Source organism: Homo sapiens, chromosome 2 (genome assembly GCF_000001405.40).
Source record: "Homo sapiens chromosome 2, GRCh38.p14 Primary Assembly".
NCBI lineage: Eukaryota > Metazoa > Chordata > Mammalia > Primates > Hominidae > Homo > Homo sapiens.
Genome location: NC_000002.12, coordinates 87,551,732 through 87,577,678, shown reverse-complemented (window position 1 = coordinate 87,577,678; position 25,947 = coordinate 87,551,732). Strand labels below are relative to the sequence as shown.

The 25,947-nt window shown below is 44.0% G+C and overlaps 1 long non-coding RNA gene and 1 pseudogene across 1 annotated transcript in view, besides 1 other annotated feature; one reads left to right on the top strand and one right to left on the bottom strand.

Annotated features, from left to right (window-relative positions):
• The window catches only part of NCAL1 (NK cell activity associated lncRNA 1), a 282,375-nt gene that overhangs the window by 160,175 nt on the left and 96,253 nt on the right, over nt 1-25,947 (bottom strand). The window lies entirely within an intron of this gene.
• Nucleotides 4,917-5,678: an enhancer, noted in NCBI's record as "H3K27ac-H3K4me1 hESC enhancer chr2:87871520-87872281 (GRCh37/hg19 assembly coordinates)". NCBI's record gives its function as "activates a minimal SCP1, AML or CMV promoter by ChIP-STARR-seq in naive H9 embryonic stem cells {active_cell/tissue: H9 hESC(naive)}" and the evidence as "EXISTENCE:reporter gene assay evidence [ECO:0000049][PMID:30033119]".
• On the top strand, nt 10,391-12,007 carry PAFAH1B1P1 (platelet activating factor acetylhydrolase 1b regulatory subunit 1 pseudogene 1; annotated as a pseudogene).

The following is a 25,947-nucleotide window of genomic DNA, read 5'->3' as shown; positions in this document are numbered from 1 at the left end:
TCACTAGATTTTTGTATGATGGCTCAAATATTGAAAACAAACACAAAGCACAGCCCCTGCTATAGTTTGCAATCTCCACTGTGGGTCCTTTGCTGCCCCCAGCGGTGGGAGGAAGGGGCTGCACTGGCTTTGAACCCCCTCTTGTTGGGGACTGAGCATCTGACCATCAGGATCCTTGCCTCCTGGTGCAGGAGGTGTCTGTCACAGGCCACAGGCACCGCAGCTCAGCACCCTCATCCCAGTGTCCCTTCTAAACTTCATTAGACTCCTCAACTCTGGCACACTGTGAAATGTATATTCATCTATAAACATTTCTCTAATAATTTATCTCAAAAAAGTGACATCAGTCTCTAAAATGCACCACAGGACACAGGAATGGCAGTCTCATGACCTCAAAAACAATCAGCCAAAATTGACATCTGACAACACCTCCTCCCGCACCCCCAGGGGCCGGGCTGTGATCCGTAAGGTTTTCATTCTTGCTGGACCCCACGCTGTGAAAATGCACCTATTTTTATTCATCAAAATCATTTTTTTAAAATAAGCAGCCCAGCGGAAAACAATTGTGAATGGCAGCTTCATTACATTTGGAGTTTTGGAACAAAGACAATATTGCTCACACTCTATGACCTGTTCAATGATACTGAAGTTTAATTAAAAAAATGTTAACGTACTAAACTGACAACAAGGAAGGTGCAACATTAGGGTTTTTTTGAAAAATCAGGAAAGCAAAATATGCTTGACAGATTGTCTCAGTTATCAATTCAATGTGACTTAACATTTGTCTTTTGGTTTTTATTTGAAACTTTCAGTTTTGAACTAGTAGGGCAATAATCCAAGCTGTATGGAACCAAAGTGGGGAGGTTGGTGGGACTCGGAGGGAAAGTTGAATAGAGGGACCCCTATTGGCCCTTTAGGGGGCTCAAATATCATCCTGGGCAAAGTTGTTTCTTAAAGGTCCCACTAGAATTGGCTACTGTTCCGGCTCCCCTAGAAAAGCCCTTGAAAGGGTATTTTCTGAGCAAGAAACATGGTGACGCTTCCACCACGTGACTGGTTTAAGACAGTCATTCTAGTAGACCTGATAAGTGAAAGCCAATTATTTTGAAGCAATAGAGTAAGTGGTGTGTGGGCAGCCACTGAATATTTAACCCAACCTGAGATTCATTAATTATGAAAGACTTTTCTTCTGAGATGATGCGATAATAGAATACGAAAATTTAAGTGCTGAAAGTATGTCAATGCATTGATTTTAAAGAAGGTGATCTAAAGCAGCAAAAAGTGATCCACATGCTCTCTGGATAGTCTCTAGGACATGTCATGTCAGTTCATGTCTTAAAGCCCCATGAAAGAGAGCCATTTTCCCCCAACCACAGAGCCCTGAGATCTGGCCAGAGGTCCCATGGTGGAAGACTCGCTCCCACTGTAGCCTGTGAAAGAGGAAAGCCACTGACCCTCATCTTGGGGACCCGTGAAGACCCACCTCCCACTTGGAGCAAGTGAGGGAACTGCAGGGTATTGGGTGAGGCCTGCTATACTTCCTACAGGCTTTGGGTCTTGGAGGTAATGGTACCAGCCTCACAGTGTGGGAGTTGGAGCGTCTGCTTCCACCCTGAGAAAATAGGTATGGGAGCAGGTCACAAGCTAGGACAGTGCCTCGACCTCCCTGAGGAAAAGACCAGAATGTATTCAGAGTCCAGGGTCCAAACCAGGGGTCTGGAGTGGCAAATTTAAGGCCTTGAGGCTGGACTGGACCAGTGCAGAGTCAGGGAGACACAGCTGTGACCTCAGGGAGGTGCTTGTCATGCACAGGGAGGAGGCTGCATTCTGTTCTCAGAGTGACAGGAAGCCACTGTTGAGTTCCAAGGGGGAGAAGGACATGGCTCAATGTGCCTTTCCCAAAGATCTTGCCGGCTCTCTCTGGAGTAGGAGTCTGGACAGGTAAGAGTCTGGACTGTGGGCCAAGTGGGAGACATGGGATGGGAGACAACAGGATGGACTCTTGAGACATTTCACAGATAGAGCCAGCAAGGCACAGGGAGGCACTGGGTGAGGAAGGTGAGGGCAGGGTCCATGGATAAATTTCACAGATAGAGCCAGCAAGGCACAGGGGGGCACTGGGTGAGGGAGGTGAGGGCAGGGTCCATGGATAAGGCACCTAAAACCCCTGGTTTCCCGTTTAGAGAAAGAATCCAATAATTCCTACCCGTCTGAGCTGTTGTGAGGACAGAGAATGGTGCATGCCATGAGCGGCTCACAACAGGGCTCCAAGGAGTGAGGGTCTGACTGTACTCCTGTTACCTCCTTTTGTCATCACAAGCACAGATGATGGACATCTGTCTCTAGCTATGTTACTTCTGACCCCCCAGCCCCAGCAAAGCAGGAAGTGGGGCCTGGGTGGAGAGGGGTGACAAGGTGGGTTTGAGTTGATCTTTCTGAGAAATCATGTGCAACTTCACAAGCAAAACAGTTACGCAATAAACTTCCAGGTTCTTAAAACCATGCTGAGGGTTACAAAAAGAAAGTTAACGGGATGCTGATGTGGACTGTGCAAATCGTTAACATACTGAAAACCTCTGTGTCCATGGTGACGTATGTACAAGTGTGAGCTGGATGAGTGACTGCCCCCTAAGGCCAGGATCCCTGTGTCCACTCTCTGCCGTGCCTGTCCCCATCATCACTCCTGGTGAAGCAGGGACGATAGCAGAGTTCCCACTGGAGGACCAAACATGCATCCAGCCCTGGAAAACAGTGCCACACTGGGCACACTGGACCTTCCCAGCCCTGGGCAGTGGGACGTGCTAGAGAAGTTGATTCACAGGGGAAACTGGGTCCTATCTGTGGGGTCTTCCCACTGGCTGGAAGGGTTCCTGGAGGAGGAGTTTCAGGGCTCTGTGAGGATGGGTAGGAGGGCCTATGGGGCAAGGTTCATAGCATCCTGCTTGGAGAAGGACACATACCCTGTTTCCTCAGAGCCAACACATTTTCCATTCTAAATATAGCCTAAGATGACCCAAGACATCTTGAGTCCCTTGCAGGGAGACCGCAGTTTTGTAATTTTCGGCACTTCTATGATTCTGAGGAAATGAACAGTAAAGCCCGAAGCCCTTTCACTTGCATCCCCTGAGCCTGGGGACTGGCAGACAACACTCCACCCTTTGAAAGAAGAGCCCAGGCAAGCTGGCCCTGGTGAGAAGCTCCCTTTAGCAACCAATTTTAGGAGATTCCACAATAGTTTGTCAGCCTACTGTCTCCCTCCGGCAAAGTGAAGTGAGGCTTCTGTTCACCCAGGATGGGTCACTGTCACCCCAGGCCCACAATGAGTAGCTCTTTCCATGACCCTTGGGATGGTTCACCTCCTGAGAGAGGCCCAGCCCTGACAGGCTTTCAGTTGGACAATAGATTTCAGTCTCCCCTGAAATCGTTGCTGCATCACCAGCTTTCGTAGCATTTCTGCAAAGTCTAAGATACAAGACTTTCAAAGAGGGAGCGCCCACTACATGCCTGGGGCACAGCGGTGACTCTTGGCTTGGAGGCGCTTCTCTGCTTGTTTGTAAGCCAGGGGATATTTTTACTATCTGAGTGGGGCCCTGTTAATTGCTTCACAAGCACTTCTGGGGAAGTTCACTTTCCAGGGGCCAGTCGTTAACTCCAACAGTGCCAGCGCTTCCCAGCCAGGGGCCTACATAAAGAGGTGCATTAGTTATCCCTAAAGGGTTAATGACTGGAGATGCGAGGACAGTCATGTTGAGTTATATATAGCAAACAGTGAGCAAAGCAGGCAAGCACAAAAAAAGGAAGACAGGAAAAAAACTGCATGGATATACTCCCCTCCCCCAACCTTCCCTGGTCTACCCCCACCCTCCCACAACACTATATATACAGACCACAGTTAAATTTGGCACAGAGACTATAGCCAAGAAGGAAAACAGATCGAGTTACACAAAGTCCTATTCAGATTTGGGCCTGGGCCTCATGGGGACAATGCTCTGCTGAGGAGAACAAGGCCATGGTCTGTTGTCAAAAAATGCACACCCGTGCGCTTTGCTTTCCTTCCAAGCATTCGCTGGCCCGGCCCTGGGCAGCAGGTTAATTCCCTGCTCTGCAGGTGGAGACAGATAAAACAAACTGAAATGGTGTAATGGGCTACAGGAAACCTTTCTTTCAGAACTTGATTCATCTCCAGAAAGGAAACACACGAGGACTTTGCTCTGGACGGTAATCTGTTTTCTTAGGGCAGCTGAGAGAGGCCTGGCAGCCAGGGTAAATACGGCAACTGGTAGAGGGGCTTTTGGCAGATGGAGCTGCAAGAGAAGTTTGAAACGATCACTTCCTACACTCTGTTCCCTACCAAGAGTGAGCTGTCAATCTTGCAGGATGGAGGTGCTCTGGAAAACAGCAGTGGGGAGAGAGCGGGCCACAAGGGAGAAACCTGAGCCACAGGTGCGTGCCTGGGATACCCCCTACTCCTGCGGGCTGGCTCACCTGGCAGAACTCGCAGAAAGGCTGCTCCCAAGCTCACTGCTCGAAGCTAACCATGTGGAGAAAGCAGGCCAGGACTTCTGGAATGCAACCTGGGCGCAAGTCAACCTCTGCTTTGAGCAGACAAGCAGGCCCGCAGCGGGCAGGCTGCCATCGAGGGTGGCCTGAGCCTCTACTGGATGTAAAGCTGGGCATGGAGAAGGCCAGGTACCTTTTAGTCATTGGAATCATCCCCATCAGCAGGCACGCAGGACACCTCGAGGAGATGAGACAGCCAGCTAGCACGTAACAGTCAGGGCTGCATAGAACATGATAGTCATAAAGACAATCCCTCATGCCACCTTCGTGTGTGGGTCTTTCAAAAGACATTCTATCTTATTATCCCATTTGATCTTCACCTGACCCTAGATGGGTCGGGCAGGGCAGAGCATCACCCTCGTTTTACAGTGGAGGAAGTGGAGGCCCAGCAAAGCCACTCTTGCCTGAGTGGGAACAGCTGGTTCAAAGATAGCCCTTTGCCCAGCCCTCTGGGAAGATAACACCTCCGGGCCAGTCTCTGTGGTGCAGGCAGTAGTTTGTACATTTGAGTGTGCACCCAAATCAAGGGGGCCATCCTCGGCCTGGTATAGCCTGCTCCCCTCAGGTTGGGCCTGGGACTTCTGTGTGGGCCCCGGCCCCCAGCACCAAGGTGGGCATCCAGTGATCTTAGTTCACACTGGGCTTTTCCATGGACACAAGCTTAGTCTGCATTGGCAAAGTGGGGACAATAGCTCAGCATGTGTCTAGGGCTGCCTCAAACAGTGACGGACCCAGAGGATTTCATCTCCTTTCCCTGCATGATTTGATGGGCTCTCTAACTTGAACTCCCTGTGTAGAAAGAATGTGGTTATGGGCTGAGTTGCGTCTCCTCCCCCACATTCATGTGTTTAAGTCTGAACCTTCAGTTCCTCAGGATGTGACCTTATCTGGAACTAGTACCATTGCCGGTATAATTAGTTAAGATGAGATTATACTAGAGTAGGGTGGGCCCCTAATCCAACATGACTGGTGTCCTTATAAAAGGGGGAAATTCAGACACACACACGGACAGGGAGAATGCCCTGTGAAGATGCAGAGACAGGTTGGGGTGGTGCTTCTGCCAGCCAAGGAACACCAGCGGCTGCCAGCAAACACCAGAAGCACGAATGATTCTCCCTCATGGCACCCGGAAGAAACCTACGCTGCCCAAGCTGACCTTGAACTTTCATCCTCCAGAACTTCCAGGCAATCAATTTCAGTTGTTAAGATCCTCAGATTGTGGAGTTTTGTTATGGCCTTCCTGGAAGATGAACCCAGATGCTAAAAAGGCAGAGGAGTGGAAAACTGATGTCTGTGGTTAGTTTACCTTGAAAACCAACCATGAGGCCCCTTCCAGCTCTGTTCTACAGACATCGATTCTGCTTTATTGTTTTAACCAAGAGTAGTACTCCACAATTGTAAACACAGTCCACAAGTTTTCTACTCCAGACCATCTCTTTAGCAGAGAGAAGGAAATATCTGTCTTCCTTCTCCAAATCCTAACCCTACTTTGTTCTCAATAGAAATTATATTGTGTCTAAGTCTCCCAAAATGTCTCAAAAGCAAGACAAACACCCACTTCCTCTTTTGGAAACTGATGGGACCCTCTACAAATTACATGTGGAGACATCACTCTTTCCCAACCAACATAGAAACTCAAACTCTTGTCAACTTTCCTAGTATCCCAACTTGCTTTCAAGAGAAAACTAAAAACTCATTCACATGAATAAAGTATAAATGACAGTCAAGAGCTTAAAGTGTTAGCTGTCCTAGGTGGGGAATAAGTTCACAAGGAACATCGGTAAAGAGGAACATGTCAGGAGTGGGAGCCCACTTTGCCTTATACCCTGACCAGGTATGTAGTCCTCAATGTAAAACTCTCCCACTGGGTGGGAATTCCTCCCACCCCAACAACGCCAGCCTCCCTGTGGCTTTGCATCAGGCTCCATCTCCTCATCGCAGCGTGGAACTCTATTCCTGTCTCTCCAATGTCCTCACACCCCAGTGACTCCAACGTCCTCTAGGACTAGGGAAGTCCGCACGGAACCTACCAAAATCCCTGGCACCCTGACAGCCCCTTCTAGTGACAGGAGCTTAAAGTGTAGCTTAAAGAAGCAGCTTTGGACCTGGTAGTACCTAGGGCTAAATTCTGCAGTACTCAGGTGGACCATAAAATAAGGCCATATTATTAGACTTGATGTGTGAATGCCACTCTCCTTTTCTTTGATTGTCCTGTTCCTGAAATCTACCTGCTCTAGAATTGCCTCCCAGATAATGTCTCTTCTAGCCTTGCTCTTCCCCCAGAGTTTCCTATTGTTTATACAAGTCCTGGGTTATTGTTCCTCCACCCAGCATTACTTAATACATCAATTAATTAGACTATAGGCTTTCCAGAGAGAGAATCGTACTTTTATCCATTTCCCCTTCCCAGATTTTGGTGACTTACATGTAGAAGTTACTCAATAAATATCTGTTGAAGGTTAATTCAACCTGAATTTCTTGTGTTCGTCTACTCTTGTTACCTGTTTTGGTCCCCAAATCCTTCCCACTTCAGACATTCGGTCAGCCCATCAACAGAGGTTGTCTCCTAACATAGACCAAATCTATAAGGAGCTGATTTCCTATTAATTCAGTGACAAGATGTCACAGATCTTCAGAGTTGGAAGATTCTTTAGAAAGTATTTCATCCATTTCTTTAATAAGAGGCCATGTTACTCATCCAAGGCCACACAGCTGGGGAAGCAGCAGCAGGGCCTGGCAGGAAGATGTTCTGGTGGAAGTGAGGCCATTCATCATGTCCAAGAAGCTGTCATCTGGGTGGCCAGCGTCGGGTGAGAGGCCAACTCATACACTTGTTGGAAGGTTCCCTCTATTGGACCCTGGGCATTTCTATTTAACCCGAACACGCCTCTGCATAAGTCCAGGTATCTCCATCTGATCTTCTCCGCAGGTTATCCTCATAGGCAACTGGACGAGGGGCCCATCCCCAATACAATCAGGCTGCACAGACCCCTGCTCCCACCGCTGGGTAGCAGAGACACAGCCTCCTGCCCTATCTCACAAATCCATGGATGTGACCCATGGGAGTGACTTCCATTTAAAGTTTTGGGCAAATCTCGGAGATTGCTGTTTTCAACCACTGGGGAAGCTTAAAGCCAAACAGTCCTACTGGCATAGAAGTAAGCCTCATTTGTTTTCTATCTGAACACATGTTTTACATCAAGAGAAGGGCTGTGGTTGGGGTAGGGAGAGCTGAAGGGAGATTCAAAGGTTCTTCAGCTCTCACAGATCTCAACCTCTTCAAAGTTTCAACCCTCAGAGCACTTAAGATGTTTCATCCCACTCAGCAGAAGTGCCTCTGCCCACACTCTCGTGTGCCACAGTGCGTGCATGGGAACTCAGCTGTGGTCCAGAGCCAGTAAAGGAAACGGGACAGTCACCTCACTGTACTTTTCCTAGAGGATGTAATTTCTCCTTTGGGATTTGATAAGCTTCCTAAGGCACATTCACATGCACAGGGCAGATGAGACCTGCTTGTTACTGAGGTCACATCAAGCCTCACATGGTGATGTGTATGAATGAACTCATACTTAAAAGAATGGGCAACTCCTACCTGGGACCTTGAGCAGGTGGGTATGGGTCAGAGCCCAGAGTCAGGGTGGATAGGCAATGGGAAAGAGAGAAAAGGTTTGCTTTTAGTGGTAACCACTTTCTAGCCTCAGCATTCTCAACTGCAGACTGGAGATAATAATAATGTCCTTCTGTGATATTTGGGGGGTTGACCAAATAAGATTTCTTGTAAAAGTGCCATGCACTGGGCAGATGAGCATCAATTCTGTGACCAGGAAGGGATTCCAGTGCCATTGCCAGCTCCTGGTTGCGTTCTTTTGAGATGATGTATTTTTTTTCAAGGGAAAGGAGCAACAAGAGGGTACCTGCAGTCTGTAGGACAATACAAGTCAAATTCTGGAGTAAAATTGTAGCACTTACACTGTGTGCTGAGTCATTTGTGATCAGAGGGAAATGAAAAGTGGCATAACAGGGTGACGGACAGGCCCAGGAGAATTCACTATGAGTCTTGGGAGTGCTGCTAGCACCTCTGCTACCTCCTAGGTGGGTCATTTCACCTCCCTGGCCCAACTGTGAATTCAAGAATACCACATCCAGCACTGCACTGTGGCAAGGGCTCCTGCAGAATAATGCAAGGGAAGAGAGCTGGAAACGACAACGTACTGGTCACATGTGTGATGCCATTTGATGTGGTTTGGCTCTGTGTCCCCCCTCAAATCTCATGTTGAATTACAATTCCCAGTGTTGGAGGAGGGGCCTAGTGGGAGGTAAGTGAATCACGGGGGTGGACTTCCGCCTTGCTGTGCTCTTGATAGAGTTCACGAGATCTGGCTGTTTGAAAGTGTGTAGCACTTCCCCCTTATCTCTCTCTCTCTCCGGCGTGAAGATGTGTTAGCTTCCCCTTCACCTTCCGCCATGATTGCAAGTTTCCTGAGACCTCCCAGCCATGCATCCTGTAAAGCCTGTGGAACTGCAAGTCAATTAAACCTCTTTCCTTCATAAATTACCCAGTTGCAGGTAGTTCTTTATCACAGTGTGAGAATGGACTACACATTATTGTTATTGTTAAAGGAAAAGAGGAGGGGGCAGGAGGAAGAGGAGGAAGGAAAAGGGAGAAATGAGGAAAGAGAGGGAAAGGAGAAAGAGGGAGGAGAGAGAAAGGGGATTGCCTTCCTTTTTAAAAAAATAAACTTTTTATTTTAGAATAGTTTTAAATTTCCAGAAAAGTTGAGAATAGTCCAGAGAGTTTCCCTAGATATCACACCCAGTTTCTCTCATTGTTACTATCTTACATTAATGAGGTACCTTTGTCACAATTAATGGCCAATGTTGATGCATATTAACTAAAGTCACCCTTCATTCAGATATCCTTAGTTGACCCAGCTGTCCTTCCACCATAGAACACCATGTTACACTGAGTTGTCCCATCTCCTTAGGCTTCTCTTGGCTGTGACAATTTCTTAGACTTTCCTTGTTTTTGATGACCTTGACAGTTTTGAGGAACACTAGTCAGGTATTTCGTAGAATGTCCCAACATTGGGATTTGCCTGGTGTTTTCTCCTATGATTATTGGGAGAAGACCACAGAAGTAAAGTGCTACTTTCATCACATTCTATCAGGAGCACATCCTATCAACATGACGTCACTCGTGATGTTGACCATGATCATCTGGCTGAGGCAGTGTTTGTTGGACGTCTCCACTGTGAAGTTTCTCCCCTGCCCCCTTTCCACACTGTACACTTTGAAAGGAAGTCACTGTGTGCAGCCCATATTTAAGGAGGGGAGAATTATGCTCCACCTCCTTGGGGGTGCACTATTACATAAATTACCTGAAATTCCACCACTCTGGAGATGTGCCTATTCTCTGCCATTTACTTATTCATATGTATGTGATTAACTAAATATATAAATGTAAATCAGTATGGAATCATGCATATTTATTTTATACTTGGGTTATTTATAATCCAATACTACTTTATTGCTCAAATTGTTCCAGCTTAGGCCATTGAAAGCTTTTTCAAGTGGTCACTGTGTCTCCTTGACCTGTGTGTTATTGTTTGTTCTTCTGAACACGTTCTTACTTTCTGGCCCTGTAAAATGCTCCTCCAGGCTCATTTTGTACATTCCCCGCCTGTCCTAGAATCAGCCATTTCTCCAGGAAGGCTTACTTCCTTTTATTAAATGGTATTAAGAACAGTGGGGGCGGTGGTGGGGGCAGTGGCGGTGGTGGCACAGTGACGTCAGGGTGTTGGGGCAGCTCCTGTGACAGACAGAGCTGGAGCGGCGGGGCAGTGGCAGAATCCAGCGGCCGGGAGAGTAGAATGAATCTTACTTGTTGAATATCTTCTGGTTACTAGTTGGATTCATTTGTAAAAGAATCATTTTCCGCTGAGTGGAAGACACTTAGTGTCATATTTATATTATACGTCCACGGATCAAAAAGCTTTTTCATTTCCCAAAGGAGGGACATACCACTATATGAGATAAGCTTGACATTACAGCCAAGATGGTGCTGTCCCAGAGACAACGAGATGAACTAAATCAAGCTAAAGCAGATTATCTTCGTTCAAATGGCTACGAAGAGGCATATTCAGTTTTTAAAAAGGAAGCTGAATTAGATATGAATGAAGAAATAAAGTAGGCTGGTGTTTTGGGGAAAAAATGGACATCTGTTATTAGATTACAAAAGAAGTTTATGGAATTAGAATCAACGCTAAATGAAGCAAAAGAAGAATTTACGTCAGGTGGACCTCTTGGTCAGAAACAAGACCCAAAAGAATGGGTATTTTCTGCCAGAAAAAATACACATTGAGTGGTCACAGGAGTCCAATCATTCGAGTCATTTTCCATCCTGTGTTCAGTGTTATGGTCTCTGCTTCAGAGGATGCTACAGTTAAGGTGTGGGATTATGAGACTGGAGATTTTGAAAGAACTCTTAAAGGAAGGACATAGAGACTCTGTACAGGACATTTCATTTGACCACAGTGGCAAGTTTCTGGCTTCCTGTTCTGCAGCTATGACCATTAAACCATGGGATTTTCAGGACTTTGAATGCATCAGAACCATGCATAGTCATGGTTCCCCATGACCATAATGTTTCCTCAGTAGTCATCATGGCCAGTGGAGATCATATAGTGTCCGCCTCAAGGGATAAAACTATAAAAATGTGGGAAGTGCAAACTGGCTACTGTGTGAAGATGTTCACAGGACAGAGAGAATGGGTACATATTGTACAACCAAATCAAGATGGCACTCTGATAGCCAGCTGTTCCAATGACCAGACTGTGCGTGTATGGGTTGTAGCAACAATGCAATGCAAGGGTGAGCTCCGAGAACATGAGCATGTGGTAGAATGCATTTCCTGGGCTCCAGAAAGCTCATATTCCTCCATCTCTGAAGCAACAGGCTCTGAGACTAAAAAATAGTGGTAAATCTGGGCCATTCTTGCTGTCTGGATCCAGGGACAAGACTATTAAGATGTGGGATGTCAGTACCGGCATGTGCCTCATGACCCTCGTGGGTCATGGTAACTGGGTACGTGAAGTTCTGTTCAGTTCTGGGGGGAAATTTATTTTGAGTTGTGCTGATGACAAGACCCTACACGTATGGGATTACAAGAACAGGCAATGCATGAAGACCCTCAATGCGTATGAACACTTTGTTACCTCATTGGATTTCCACAAGACAGCACCCTATGTGGTCACTGGCAGCGTGGCTCAAACAGTAAAAGTGTGGGAGTGCCGTTGATTGTGTCTTCTTCGGCCCTTCCTCCCTCTTTTCCTCTGGATGCACTCTGATGATACCATGGCTACCCCACTGAGCTCTGTTTAAATAAATATTGTCCTTTCATGTAAATTATTCTGGATGTAGATTGAGCTTATTAAATGTTACAAAGAAAAAAAAAAGAACAGCATCAAAAACTAAGACGTAAACAGTAGGTGTGCTCATTGCTACTGGGATGACACTTATTCAGGCCCTGTCAGGAGACAGAACAAGGAAATATATACCAACCCATATCTGTAAGTGTATTGTACATATCCGTCTGCATCTATTTTGAGCTGAACTCGATTCCACGTTGATGTCCCCAACACTAACCACTGCCATATGAATCACTGCAACCTTTCCTGCTTGCTTGTTGGTAGCCTCCCCTCCAACAAAGATAAACCTGGCTCCCACCATCCTCCATCCAGTGACTTCACATTTCAGAGTGTGTGACTAGTGGCTTCAGAATTTATATCCTTTTGGGAAAGAGCTTTATCTACTAGAATACAGGGTTGTGGACAGTTCCTTATGTTTTTAGTCTTACAGTCTCCACTCACTTCCAATGCCACTTGGTCAGCACGCTTTCCTCCCACCCCTTCAGTGGAATTATTTTATACATTTGTAATACAGTTAGTCTTCTGTCATACTCAGCATCCCATCTTGGAATCCCCCAACATCTTTAATTATTTTTTTAATTTGCATATGTTAAGGTTCACTCTTTGTGATGTAAAATTCCATGGGTTTTGAAAAATGCAGTGTTATGTATTCACCACCACAGTATCATACACAATAATTTTACCATTCTAAAAAAAAATCTCTTGTGCTTTGCCTACTCTACTCTTCCATCTCTACAGGCCCCTGGAAACCACTGATCCGTTTACCATCTCGATAATTCTACCTTTTCTAGAACATAATATAAATGGATAAGCTTTTTTCAGTAAACAATATCCATTTAAGTTTTATCTATGTTTTTACATAGCCTGATAGTTCATTTATTTATATCTCTGAATAGTATTCCTTTATATGCATGTACTACAGTTTATTAATCTATTCACCTACTGAAAGACATCCTGGTTTTCCAGATATTGGTGGTTATGAATAACGTTGCTACACACATTTGCATGCAGGTATTTTGTGGACGTAGTTTTCAATCAGTTGGGTAAACATCTAGGAGTATGCTTGCTGGTTCATACAGTAAAATAATATTTAACTTTTTAAGAAACTTCCAAACATCTTTTAAAGTAGCTGTACTATTTTGCCTTCCCACCAGAAACGCATGTGGGTTCTTATTCTTCTAAATTCTCATAGCAATTGGTATTGTTGGTTTTTTGTATACTAGCCATTCTAATAGGTGTGTGGTGAAAGCTCATTGTTGTATTCATTTGCATTTCTTTAATGACAGATGATGTTTCACATGCTTATTTCCCATTTGTAAGATATATATATATACATATATGTACATATGTATATGTCATATGTATACACACACACAAATATCATCTTTGGTGGTGATTTGGAGGTGTCTGTTCAGATTTATTCATTTTTTCAATTGGATTACTTATGGTCTTTTTGTTGACTTTTAAGATTTCTTAAAATATTTTGGATACAAGTTTCTTATCAGGTTCATGTTTTGCAAATATTTCTTTTCAGTCTGCAGCTTGTGTTTTCATTATCTTAACAGAATTGTTCGTAGAGCAGAAGTTTTTAATTTTAATAAAGTCCAACTTCTCTATTTTTTTTTCTTTCATGGTTCATGCTTTTGGTCGTGTATCTAAAAATTCCTCACCAAACCCAAGGTCACATAAATTTTTTTCTTATGTTTTCTTCTAAAAGTTTTATAAATTTGCATTTTAAATTTAGGTTTATGATCCATTTAGAGTTATTTTTTGTGTAAGTTGCAAGTTCTGTGTCCAGATTCATTTAGCCTATGAACATCCAATTGTTCCAGCACCACTTGGTGAAAAGACTTCACTTGCTCCATTGAGTTGCCTTTGCGCTTCTGTCAAAAGTCAGGTTATTATATTGTGTGGGGGGGTCTATTTCTGGCATCTCCATTTGTTGATTTATGTGTCCTTTTTTTGCCAATACCACACCATCTTGATTATTATAGCTTTATAGTAATTCTTGAAATGAAGGACTCTGAGTACTCCAACTTTGATCTTCTTTAGTATTGTGTTAGCTATTCTAGGCCTTCTGCTTGTTTATATTAATTTTAGAATCAGTTTATCAATATCTAAAAAATAACCTGCTGGGATTTTGAATTGGACTGCTCTGATCAAGTTATAAATACTTCACATCTTAACAATACCAAGTCTTCCAACAGATAAGCAGGGACTATCTTGCCATTTATTTAGATTATTTTATTTTGCCAGTATTTTCTAGCTTTTTGCCTACAGTTTCCATAGATTGTGTCAAATTTGTAACTAAATACTGATTTGGGGGGATGCTATTGTAAATGGTAATGTAAATTTCATTTAAAATTCTAATTGTTCATTGTATATGGGAAAGCAATTGACTTTGGTATATTTTCTTTGTATGCTGTGTCCTTGTTATACTCACCTTTTCCAATGAGGTTTTCACCTTTTTTTGTGTGCACAGATTATTTGGCATTTCCTACATAGACAGTGTATCTACTAATAAAGACCATTTTTGTTTCTTTTTGTCCAGTCTGTATATCTTTCTTTTAATTCTTTTTCTTATTGCTGTAGCTGGGACTTCCAGTATGATGTTCGATAGGAGTGGTGAGAGAGGACATCCTTGCCTTATTCTTGATTTTAGGGGGAAAATGCCCAGCCTCTCACCAATAAGTATGACGTTTAGTGCAGGCTTTTTGTGCATGTTCTTTATCAAGTTGAAGAGATACCCTCTGTTTCTAGTTTGCCGAGAGATTTTATTGTAGATAGGTATTGATTTTTTTCAAATACTTTCTCTAGCAGTTGATATAGTCATGTGATTTATCTTCTTTAGCCCATTGATATGGTAAATTACGTTGATTTTTGAATGTCAAACCAGCTTTGTATACATGGAATGAATCCCACTTGGTTATGTTATATAATATTACTGAATATGATTCAATAATTTTTTCAAAGATTTTTTTGTATCTATGATTATGAGAGATATTGGTCTGTAGTTTTTCCTTTCTTAAAATGTCATTAGCAGGTTTTGGTGTTAGGGTAATATACTGTGCTATGGTCTGAATGTTTGTGTTCCCCCAAATTCATATGTTGGAATTCTAACTTCCAAGGTGATTGTATTAAGAAGTGGGGCCTTTGGGAAGTAATTAGATCATGAGGGCGGAGCCCTCATGAATGGGTGATCCCTTGTAGAAGAGACCTAAATGCCCTTATAGTAGAGGCCTAAGGGAGACTCCTCATCCCCTCCACCATGTGAGGACACAGCTAGAAGGAACCATTTATGAAGCAGAGAGCAGGCCCTCACTGGATACCAAATCTGCCAGTGCCTTGCTCATGGACTTCCCAACCTTCAGAATTGTGAAAAATAAATTTCTATTGTTTATGAGCCACCCAGTTTGTGTGGTGTTCTGTTACAGCAGCCTAAACAGACTAAGATAACTGGCCTCATAAAATGAGTTTGGAAGCAATGCCTCTGCCTCTATTTTTTGGAAGATATTGTGGAGAATTGTTATTATTTCCTCTTTAAGTATTCTGTTGAAAGTACCAGTGAAACTATCTGAGCCTAGTGCTCTCTTTTCTGGAAGGTTTTAAATTATTCAATCTCTTCGAATATAAGACTACTCTCTTTGGGGGGTTTTAATAGTTTGTGTCTTTCAAGGAATTGTTGCACTTCACCTTAATTATATTTATGAGCATAAAGTTGTTTGTTGTATTACTTAATTAACCTTTTCATGTCTATGGGATCAGTTGTGATGACCTCTCTTTTGTTTCTAATGTTAATAATTTGTGTCTTTTCTCTCTTCATTGGCCTGACTAAATGTTTATCAATTTTATTGATCTTTTCCAAGAACCAGCTTTTGTTTTATGATTTTTCTCTACTGTTTTCCTGTTTACAATTTTATTAATTTCTGTTCTAATTTTTAATTACTTATCTTATTTTCCTTGCTTCAGGCTTAAATTAAATTAGGCCTCTTTCTTTAGTTTCCTAAGATGGAAACCTGAATGATTGACTGTAGATCTTTTTTTTTCTAATAAACATATGTGTTTAACATTATAAATTCCCATTGTTCTGCTTTTTGTCACTATAGGTTAGTTTGCATTTTTAAAAATTTTATGTAAATGAAATCATGCTGCTTGTATGTTTTTTCCTCTGCTTTCTTTCGCTCAGCAAAATTGTTCTCAGATTCATCCATATCCTTGCACGTATCAATAGTCTTTCTTTTCTTTCTTTTTTAGACAGAGTCTCACTCTGTCACCCAAGCTGGAGTGCAGCAATGTAATCACAACTCATTGCAGCCTTGACCTCCTGTGCTCAAGTAATCCTCCCACCTTGGCCTCCTGAGTAGCTGGGACTACAGGTGTGCACCTCCACACCCTGCTAATTTTCTTTTCTTTTCTTTCTTTCTTTCTCTTTTTTTTTTTTTTTTTTGAGACACAGTCTCTCTCTGTCGCCTGCCCGGGCTGGAGAGCAGTGGCGTGATCTCGGCTCACTGAAACCTCCACCTCCTGGGTTCAAGCAATTTTCCTGCCTCAGCCTTCCCAGTAGCTGGGATTACAAGTGTGCGCCACCACACCTGGGTAATTTTTTGTATTTTTAGTAGAGATGGGGTTTCACCATGTTGCCCAGACTGGTCTCAAACTCCTGAGCTCAAGTGATCTGCCTCAACCTCCCAAAGTGCTGGTATTACAGATGTGAGCCACTGCCCAGCTGTCTGTTTCTTCTTATTGCTTGATAGTACTCCATTATATGGATATGCCACAGTCCATTTATCTGTTGCTATACCTTTGGATCATTTTCAGTTTCAAGTGATTGAAAATAAAGCTGTTATTAACAATCATGTAAGAATGTTTGTGTGGACAAATGCTTTCATTTCTCTTGAGTAAATACTTAGGAGTGGAATGGCTGAGTAATATAGTAAATGTATGTTTAACTTTTAAGAAACTGCCTATCTGTTCTCCAAAGTGGAGGTACCATGTTGCATTCTTACCAGCAACATATAAGAGTTCCAGTTCCTCCACATCCACACCAACACTTGGTGTGGTCAGTATGTTTAACTTTAGACATTGTAATTCAGACTGAACACATGAATGTGGTATGTTATTTAAGTTTTATTTAATTCCTCTCAGGAATACTTTGTAGTTTTCAGTATACAGGTCTTCCCCATCCTTTGTCAGGTTTATTCTAAGTATTTTATATTTCTGATACTATTATAAATGACACTCTCTATTTCACTTTCTGATTGTTCATTGTTAATCATATAAATGAAATTGACTTTTTAAATATTGATATAACAGCTTGTATCCTTTCTAAATTCACTTAAGAGTTCTAGTATCTTTTCGTAGATTCACATATTTTTGCCATTTTTTGTTTGTTTCATGAAAGAGGATATATTTGGTCTCTACTACTCCTTTTGGCCTTAATTGAAAATTGGGAGGATATGCATTTTAAAAGTATATCTTTCTAAGGTCAGTTAGCTCATGGATGGAGTGGTTATTTGAAATCAGGGCATGGTGGCAGCAAGAGCCAGCAGGCATGGAAACAGTGAGTCTGGTCTGCTCTGGTGGTGGCCCATAAGAGGAAAATTCTTAGAACCCTCTGCCCTAGTAATGAGAGCAAGATATGTGAGGACTGGCTTGGGAGTCTCTTCTGTGGATGAGAGTATTAAACCCCATGATGATTTAGTGTCCATCCTTAAGGGATGCTTGCCAAGGTGTGAGACAACCATGTAATGGGATACTCTGCAGTCACTAAACCAGATGGCAAAAAGGTCATTGGCATGGAAAACGCTTGTGGGTTATGACTGCATTAGTTTTCTAATGTTGCATTAAATACGTAGTCATGAATATGATTGCTCTTTTTAAGCATAGGCTCTGAGGCATAGGCACAGAATGTTGGGGGTGATATTTAAAGTTCTGCCTTTATATAATTGCCAAATAAAAATTGGCATGATTCAAAACACTATGTGCAATAGAGTAACATTTTTATAAGAAAAAAAAGTGTATACAGTAAAAAATTATGGGCAGTGTTTGTTCTTTACCCTCCAAGATTTTTTACCATAAACATGTATCACTAGGATACTGTGAACAGCTTACATGAAACCTAAACTGTTACAAATCCATTTGTAAGATGGAACTCAAGGTGCATTTTCCCATAGACACAATGTTTTTGGGGTGATTGGAGCCCTGTGACTTTCCACAAAAGATTTTAATAATAAGACTCTATGCCCCAGGCCTTATTTCTAGTGGGCAGTAATTTCAAGTTTAATTCAAGATGCCAGGAATAAATGGCTGTGTCTCCCTCACTCACCGACCCATGAAGAGGCATCAGTGGTCAAGGGGGCTGGTGACCAGGAGTTGTTCACATTACATCGACATAAGAAAATGCCACTCTCTATGTTCACAAGAACGTATGTTCCATTCTAGGAGAGGAGGGGCAGAGCCCCCTCACAGCTGCTGCACACTGGGGTTGGCCTCTTCACAGGCATGTCTGTGTGTGTGTGTGTGTGTATGCATGTGCAAAAATGTGTACACATGAGCACACGAGGGGACATATCAGTATGCACATGTGTATGTGGCAGGTGATCTGCGTCCATTTATGTTGCCTCTTTTCCCAGAAGAAGAAAAGAGTCCACCAAGAAAGTTTTTGTTTGAGAGTATAGGTTTTACTGCAGATATCGTGAGACATCTCTGAGAGGGTTTTCTTTCCCTGTCCCGACCCCTCCCCTCTCTCATCTGCCATTCTCTCCAGCCTCACTCTGTGTGGTCGGTGACTGATTAAATAAACTGTGGAGCATCCACTCCATAGAGTCCTACTCAGCAAGAAAAGGGGGCATTGGATAATGATGTGCCCAACAGTGTGGAAAAATCTCCAGAGAATTGTGCTGAGCAAAAAAGACATGCACACCACGAGTCTATTATTCCTGAAATGACAACATTATAAAAATGAAGAACAGATTATTGGTTGCCAGGGGTTAAGGAGAAGAGTATGGAAGGAGGTATGGCTATAAAAAGGCAGCAAGAGGAACCCTGTGGTGATGGATACACAGACCCTACATGTGGGATAAGATTGCATGGAACTAAATACACATGCATGTGTGCACATACACACAATGAGGACAAGTAAAAGTATATCAATGCCAATATTCTGGCAGTGCTATTATACTATCATATAAGATGTTATCTTTAGGGGAAACTGGATAAAGGTCACACAGTATATTTTCTGATTTATTTCCTAAAACTGCAGAATAATTTACAATGATCTCCAGATAAAAAAGCTTAATTTTGGCCTGGGCGTGGTGGCTCACGCCTGTAATCCCAGCACTTTGGGAGGCCAAGGCAGGAGGATCGCTTGAGCCCAGGAGTTTGAGACAAGCCTGGGCAACATAGCAAGACATTACCTCTACAAAAGTAAAAAAAAAAAAATAGCATGATGTATTGGCGTGTGCCTCTGGTTCCAGCAACTTGAGAGGCTGAGTTGGGAGGATTGCTTAAGCCCAGATGGTTGAGGCTGCAGTGAGCCATGTTTGAGCCACTGAACTTCAGCCTGGGTGGGAGAGTCAAACCGTATCTCAAAACAAACAAACAAACAAAAAGATAATTATAGTAAAACAAAACAAAACAAAGCTTAATTTTTAAAAAAGTGAGACAGAAATAAATATTTTTCTCAAACAAAAACTGAGGGAATTCCTAGCGAGTAGATCTGTCCTAAGGACAGCTTTGCAGAAGCTCTTCAGGCAGAAGGAAAACCTTATTAGTCAGAAACTGGGGTCAGCATCAGGCAGAGATGCAGGGCAGAGAAAGCATAAATGAAGGTAAAATAAGATCGTTTGTTTTGCTTATTTTTTTAATTTAATTCTTTTTTATTGAGGTAAAATATACATATATGATTTACCATCTTTACCATTTTAAGTGTATTGTTCAATGGTAATAAATACATCATGTTCCTTTTTTTCCCTACTTCCCCTACTCTCTTCTTTATAGTCCTTATTCTTTATTGATCTAAATTACTAATTATGGTTTTGCAGCTTTCTTCTTATGTTTTGGAGCCAATTTTTGTTCAAGTGTCAAGCATGTTTTTTTGAAACCTTGCAGAGCTGGGGTAGGCCTTATGCCCATGGGTGGGTGGCTGGAAGGGCCTGGAAAGAACCCTGATGACACATGGTTCTCCCAGGGTACCCCTGCCTCTCCCAGCCATGGACTCCAGTCTCTCTGAGAAGCCATAACAGCTTTTGTTAGAGGGGACCACTGACGCCTTTAGCATGTGGGTGTTGACTAGGGCTATGGGCACGAGTGACAGATGCAAGGGCATTGGAGTCAGGCCGACGTGAGTCCAAACCCCAGCTCTGCCTCTTAGTAGCTATGTGATCTTGGGCAATTTACTTAACCTCTCTGGTCTCCAGTCTCATATGCAATAATACTTTTCAGGGCGGCTGTTGTCAGTTACAGGACCTAACACATGGGATAGACGCCATCACATAATGGATGCTGTTCATTTCCTTCCCTATTATGATATGTATCACTGTTCCTTCCAGTGAGTAGACAGTTGCCACACTCACATTGGAGACTCCCTTCCTTATCAACTTTCATAGGTAAGAGCTGCAGTGCTCCATCCTCTCCTGAGAGTTTATTCTCTGCAGGGAGGCAAACATAACTATCACTTCTCAGTTGTCCTCCAAACTTAGGTGAGGATCCAGTTTTGTAGGAGATCTTGCAGCTTAAGAAAACAGGTCTAAATCCAAGCAGCCTGATGAAACAATAACCCCACCTTCTTCCATTCCCCAAATCCCTTTGAGAGTAGGCGCATTGTGTTGCCTTCCTGGTGGTTCCAAAAACTGGACCTCTGGACTTTAATGCAATTCCATAGTCCATTCTTTGTCCAGCAGTCAAAATGGTGTCTTTAGACATTTAAAGTAAGTTAGCAAGGATTAAAAATCTCCCATGCCTGACCCAGCCTCCTGTCTCTCCACTCTCCCCATGGCTTACACTGTCCCAGCCACGCTCATCTTGACAAGTTTCTCAACTTGACAAACTCATTCCACCTCAGGGCCTTTGCACTTGTTGGTCCTGCTGCCTGGAAGGCTCTGCCCCTGATCTGAGTATGCAAGCCCCTCATCATCCTGTCCCAGCTCCAGGATCGCCCCAGCAGGCAGCCTTCCCTGAACATTGTTGAAATGAGAACCCCTCCCTCCTCCTCCCTTGGCAGCCCTCTTAATATCTCCGTTTGCCCCCCAGCATTCACCACAATCTAAAACCACCTCACTCGTTTACAAGCTTTCTTGAGTTTTCTCCATTTCCTCCTTCAGGAACATCAGCTCCACGGGACTAAGAATGAGAAATCCCTGGTGCCCTGATCTAGGCCCAGCACTCAATTTGGGTGAGTCCCAACATCTGTTTATAAGTGAATGACTGTCCCTTCCCTCCCTGGCAAGGGGACTCACACCCTGCAACAGCAACTCTGGTCCGTGACCCCCCTGGAGAGCTATCTGTGGATCCCAAGCCATTCCCAGACCACATAGCTGGTAGCTGGCACAGGGGGAAGCATGCCAGGGTCCAGTGACCCCAGACAGTCACTTAGGATGTGATATGGTTTGGCTGTGTCCCCATCCAAATCTCAACTTGAATTGTATCTCCCAGAATTCCCACGTGTTGTGGGAGGGACCCAGGGGTGAGGCAATTGAATCACGGGGGCCAGTCTTTCCTGTGTTATTCTCATGATAGTTTATAAGTCTCACGAGATCTGATGGGTTTATCAGGGGTTTCCACTTTTGCTTTTTCCTCATTATTCTCTTGCCGCTGCCATGTAAGAAGTGCCCTTCATCTCCTGCCATGATTCTGAGGCCTCCACAGCCATGTGGAACTGTAAGTCCAATTAAACCTCTTTTTGTTCCCAGTTTCAGGTATGTCTTTATCAGCAGCGAGAAAATGAACTAATACAGAATGTTAGCCCCAAGGATAACATTTTTGCAAGCTCAGCTGGCAGACCTGGGCAGGAGATTCTTTTCTTTTCTTCTCCTTTTTTTTTTTTTTTTAAATTTTTATGTTATATAGAGAAGGGTCTCACTATGTTGCCCAGGCTGGTCTCGAACTCCTGGGCTCAAGCGATCTGCCACTTGGCCTCCCAAAGTGATGGGATTACAGGCATGAGCCAACGTGCCTGGCCATGAAGGTTCTGAATAAGGAGTAACGGGGCATGTCTCCGCTCATATGCAGCCATGTAGCTTGATGGCTTGGGATTAGGGAGCAGTGCTAATTCAGCAGACACCAAGGCAAAGAAATTACACCTAGGGAAGATTTACTTCTTATCCTCTGCATCCCACGTCACCCCCACCCCCCAAGCTGAGCTGCACCCCACGCTCCCAGCAGCCCTCACACTGAGGAATAAGCAGCTCAGCTGCCTCTCCCGCATCCTGCCCAGCTGCAGCCAAGACCAGAGGGACTTTCCCCACCCCCACCACACATGTGTGTCTATCCACAGAGGAACATCTATCAGGGGCTCCTGGAGAGAAATGACTATTCCATAAAGATTTCATTTTTGTTGGAGTCTATCCACAGCTCTATATAGTCATAAAAATTTAATAGGAAACTTCCATAAAAAAAGAGGCATAATTAAAAAGAAATAGGGACAGCTCCAGCAGAGGTTGAAGATTAAAGACCAAGAGGCCCAGCACAGATAGGGAAATTTTATGAGCTACCAAAGAAAGAAAAACATACCACACAGAAAATGCATGCAGTAGAGACGGTCCTGCCACTTTGAGTGAGGTGAGCCAACCAGACCCGGGTGCCATTCTCTGAAGATGGGGGCAGGCACTCAGGCCGTGTGTGACACAGTAGTGCTCAAGAAACACTGCAGCTGCAAGTATTGGGAGCCAGTGAGATGTCAAGTCTCCACTGCCGGACAGCCCTTCCCTTGTTGGATCCACAGAAGTCTGAGGCTCAGGACAAAGATAACCCTCTGAAATTTCATGGCCTGAGGAGTTGAGTTGTTACCCCTGTGGTCATAGGGCTGGAGGAAAAGCTTTTAACTAACCTCTGGGGGACTGGATCCTTAGCCAACATTCAACCAAAACACTCAACTTCAAGGCACCAACTTGCTTTTCATTAGACTATTTTCTCTTTTTTTTTTTTTTTTTTTTTTTTGAGACGGAGTCTCGCTCTGTTGCCCAGGCTGGAGTGCAGTGGCGCGATCTCAGCTCACTGCAAGCTCTGCCTCCAGGGTTCACGCCATTCTCCTGCCTCAGCCTCCCGAGTAGCTGGGACTACAGGCGCCCACCACCACGCCTGGCTAATTTTTTTGTATTTTTAGTAGAGGCGGGGTTTCACCGTGTTAGCCAGGATGGTCTCAATCTCCTGACCTCGTGATCCGCCCCCTCGGCCTCCCAAAGTGCTGTGATTACAGGTGTGAGCCACCGCGCCCGGCCTCATTAGACTATTTTTCTTATTACAAATACAATAGATGTTCCTTGTAGAAATTTTGGAAATACAGAAAAGCAAAATGAGGATTAAAACTGACTGTCATCTTTTTACCTATCTATATGCATCTATCACCTTGACATTTTTGCTTCCCAATCTTTGGAAAAATACAGGTCATAAAGAAGAATATAAGAAAATAACGGGCTTGGATACTGGAAATCTGGGCAGGATAAGGGGAAAACTGCCATCCAAAGCAAACCAGAGACACAAAATGGCTGAGTTGTGGACAGAGCTTAGCGCTTACCGAGCAATCCTGCCCATCAGAATCCCAGGTAGCTCAAAGGAGAAACTGAGGCTTAAACAATGGGGGTGGGAAGGGAAGAAATGCAGAGAGATCCTCAGGGTTTTACAACCAAAAAGAAACAGTCGATTTGATGGCCTCTCTGCAAAGCCCATGGGTATGTGTACATTTCTGTCCCCATTTCCAAATTCGACACAGTCGGTGATGATGGCGGCTTCTGGAGTCAGCACTCTTTGCCCCATCTAAGCTATGACTGTGGTGGTGGTACCCACGTTTCTGGAGATAGGGTCACTGCTTTACCTGCGGTACTGGGGGCTGGGAGCCATGAGCCCTCAGGGGTCATTCCTAAAGAGAACAGTGAGCCCCAGATATCCATAAACATAATTTCACAACTGGGAGGAGGCAGCTCTTGTTATTGCTACTATCTTGTTATATCATCATCATCATCATCATCATTATCATCATCACGATGATGCTGAAGATGGCAATCAGAGTAAGTGAGCAGTGCCTTAGACCAGGGCTGAACCACTTCTTTGGGCATAAGAGAGATTTAGAAAACCATAAAAAGTGCTTTCCAGTGACTTATTTTCCAGTAAAACTGAACATAGCTATGTTGAGTTCTAAGGGGGTAGATTTGACTCATCTTATGACTTAAGAGCTCCTAATTTTTGGATAGAGGATCATCTATGGGGAATCTGGCATAGCTTTTATAATGTGACCCTTGGCTCATGCCTGAGAAGTAACCCCAGGTAGCCTTCTGGTCCCTCCTGCAAGCAGGCACAGCCTACCACTGAGTAGGTCACCCACGGGGTTCCTGGGGCACTTGCTACTGGGAGTAAGGGAAGCATAACCAGGTGCAAAGCAGGTGAGGGACAGGCCAGAGGTGCCTTGCCCAGGGCTGCTGTGTGTTCCACTCCTGCGGAACGTGAGCTCCGTGGGGCAGGGTGGACTCTTGCTTACCCATGTCCCCACTTCCACCATGGCCATGGGCTCACCAGTGCAAATAAATATTTTTAAAAACATGTTTAGCTAGATGGACTCTGAGTAATAGAAAGAACTCTGGAGAAGGTTCAGGTGAGCCTGCTCTTTCCCTGCTTTTGAAATTAAAAGACCAAAGCCTGGAGCAGATGGGGAAGCCCAAGGACACGTGGTGGCCACCTGCAGAGACCACAGATGACCCAGCCCTAGGTGCCTCGTGGCTCACATCAAAGGAGCCTGTCCAGGATGAAGGCCACTCTGTGCATTTTCTTATTCCATAAAAAGCTAAGAACTTGCTAGGAAGAAGGGAGAAAAAACCCTTCCTAGGTTTGTAGAAAGGAAATTTCAGGGAAAGTGGTTCTAAGATGCTCATAAATTAGTCCTGATGGAGTTTTCTAGATTCCAAGAGTGTGGACTCTGGAACTAGATATCCTTGGAGCAGATGGAAGTCCCCTATCTGTTAGTTAGGCCTTAGAAGGACACTTCCGTTCTCTGGGCCTCCACCTGGGCATCTCCATCCCAGGTCGCAGCAGTAGCCGCCTCGATAGCTCATCACAAAGATCACGAGATCCCTCAGGCAAAGCTCCTGGAAGGGTGCCTGGCAGACAATTCCTGCTCAATAAAGGTTGACCACCATTGCTATTATTTCATTGCCACCCACTCTCCAAGAAACAATCTTCTCCTGGAACTGTTTGAGATTGCCAAGACAAGTAGGAGGAACCAAACTCACCCAGTCACTGGACACTCATTGGTTTCAAGCCTTATGTCAAAATTGGCAAGCAGTGGCGTCGGCCCTCAGGGGAGGGAGACTAGCCATCAGACAAGGGATGGGGAGGCGGTTTCACTTGAAATTGTTTACAATGTGCATATATTCATTTTCAAAAAAGCAGTTATAACAAAGGAATGTGGTGGCTAGTAATGAAAAATAATTATACAGATATTTTATAAGTTAAAAGACAACACAGGGGCCCAAACCACAGTCTGGTAAATACATCTGCCCTGAATCCCAACACCCCTTCCCAGGCACAGGGACAAGAATTGTGTGTCTTTGGGTCCAGCAAGCAAAGCAAAGGTCTGGGGGCTGTGAGGGGCAGAGCTGGGAAGAGGGGGAAGGTAAATTCAGGCTTTCCTCTCACCTTAATAATAAAGACATTGGAATCTCTTTTAGAAATTTAAATGTGCAATGAACAAAAAGAAAGGAAGCAAAATAATCATTACAAAAGCAACGATGGCTGTCACTTACATAGTACTTTC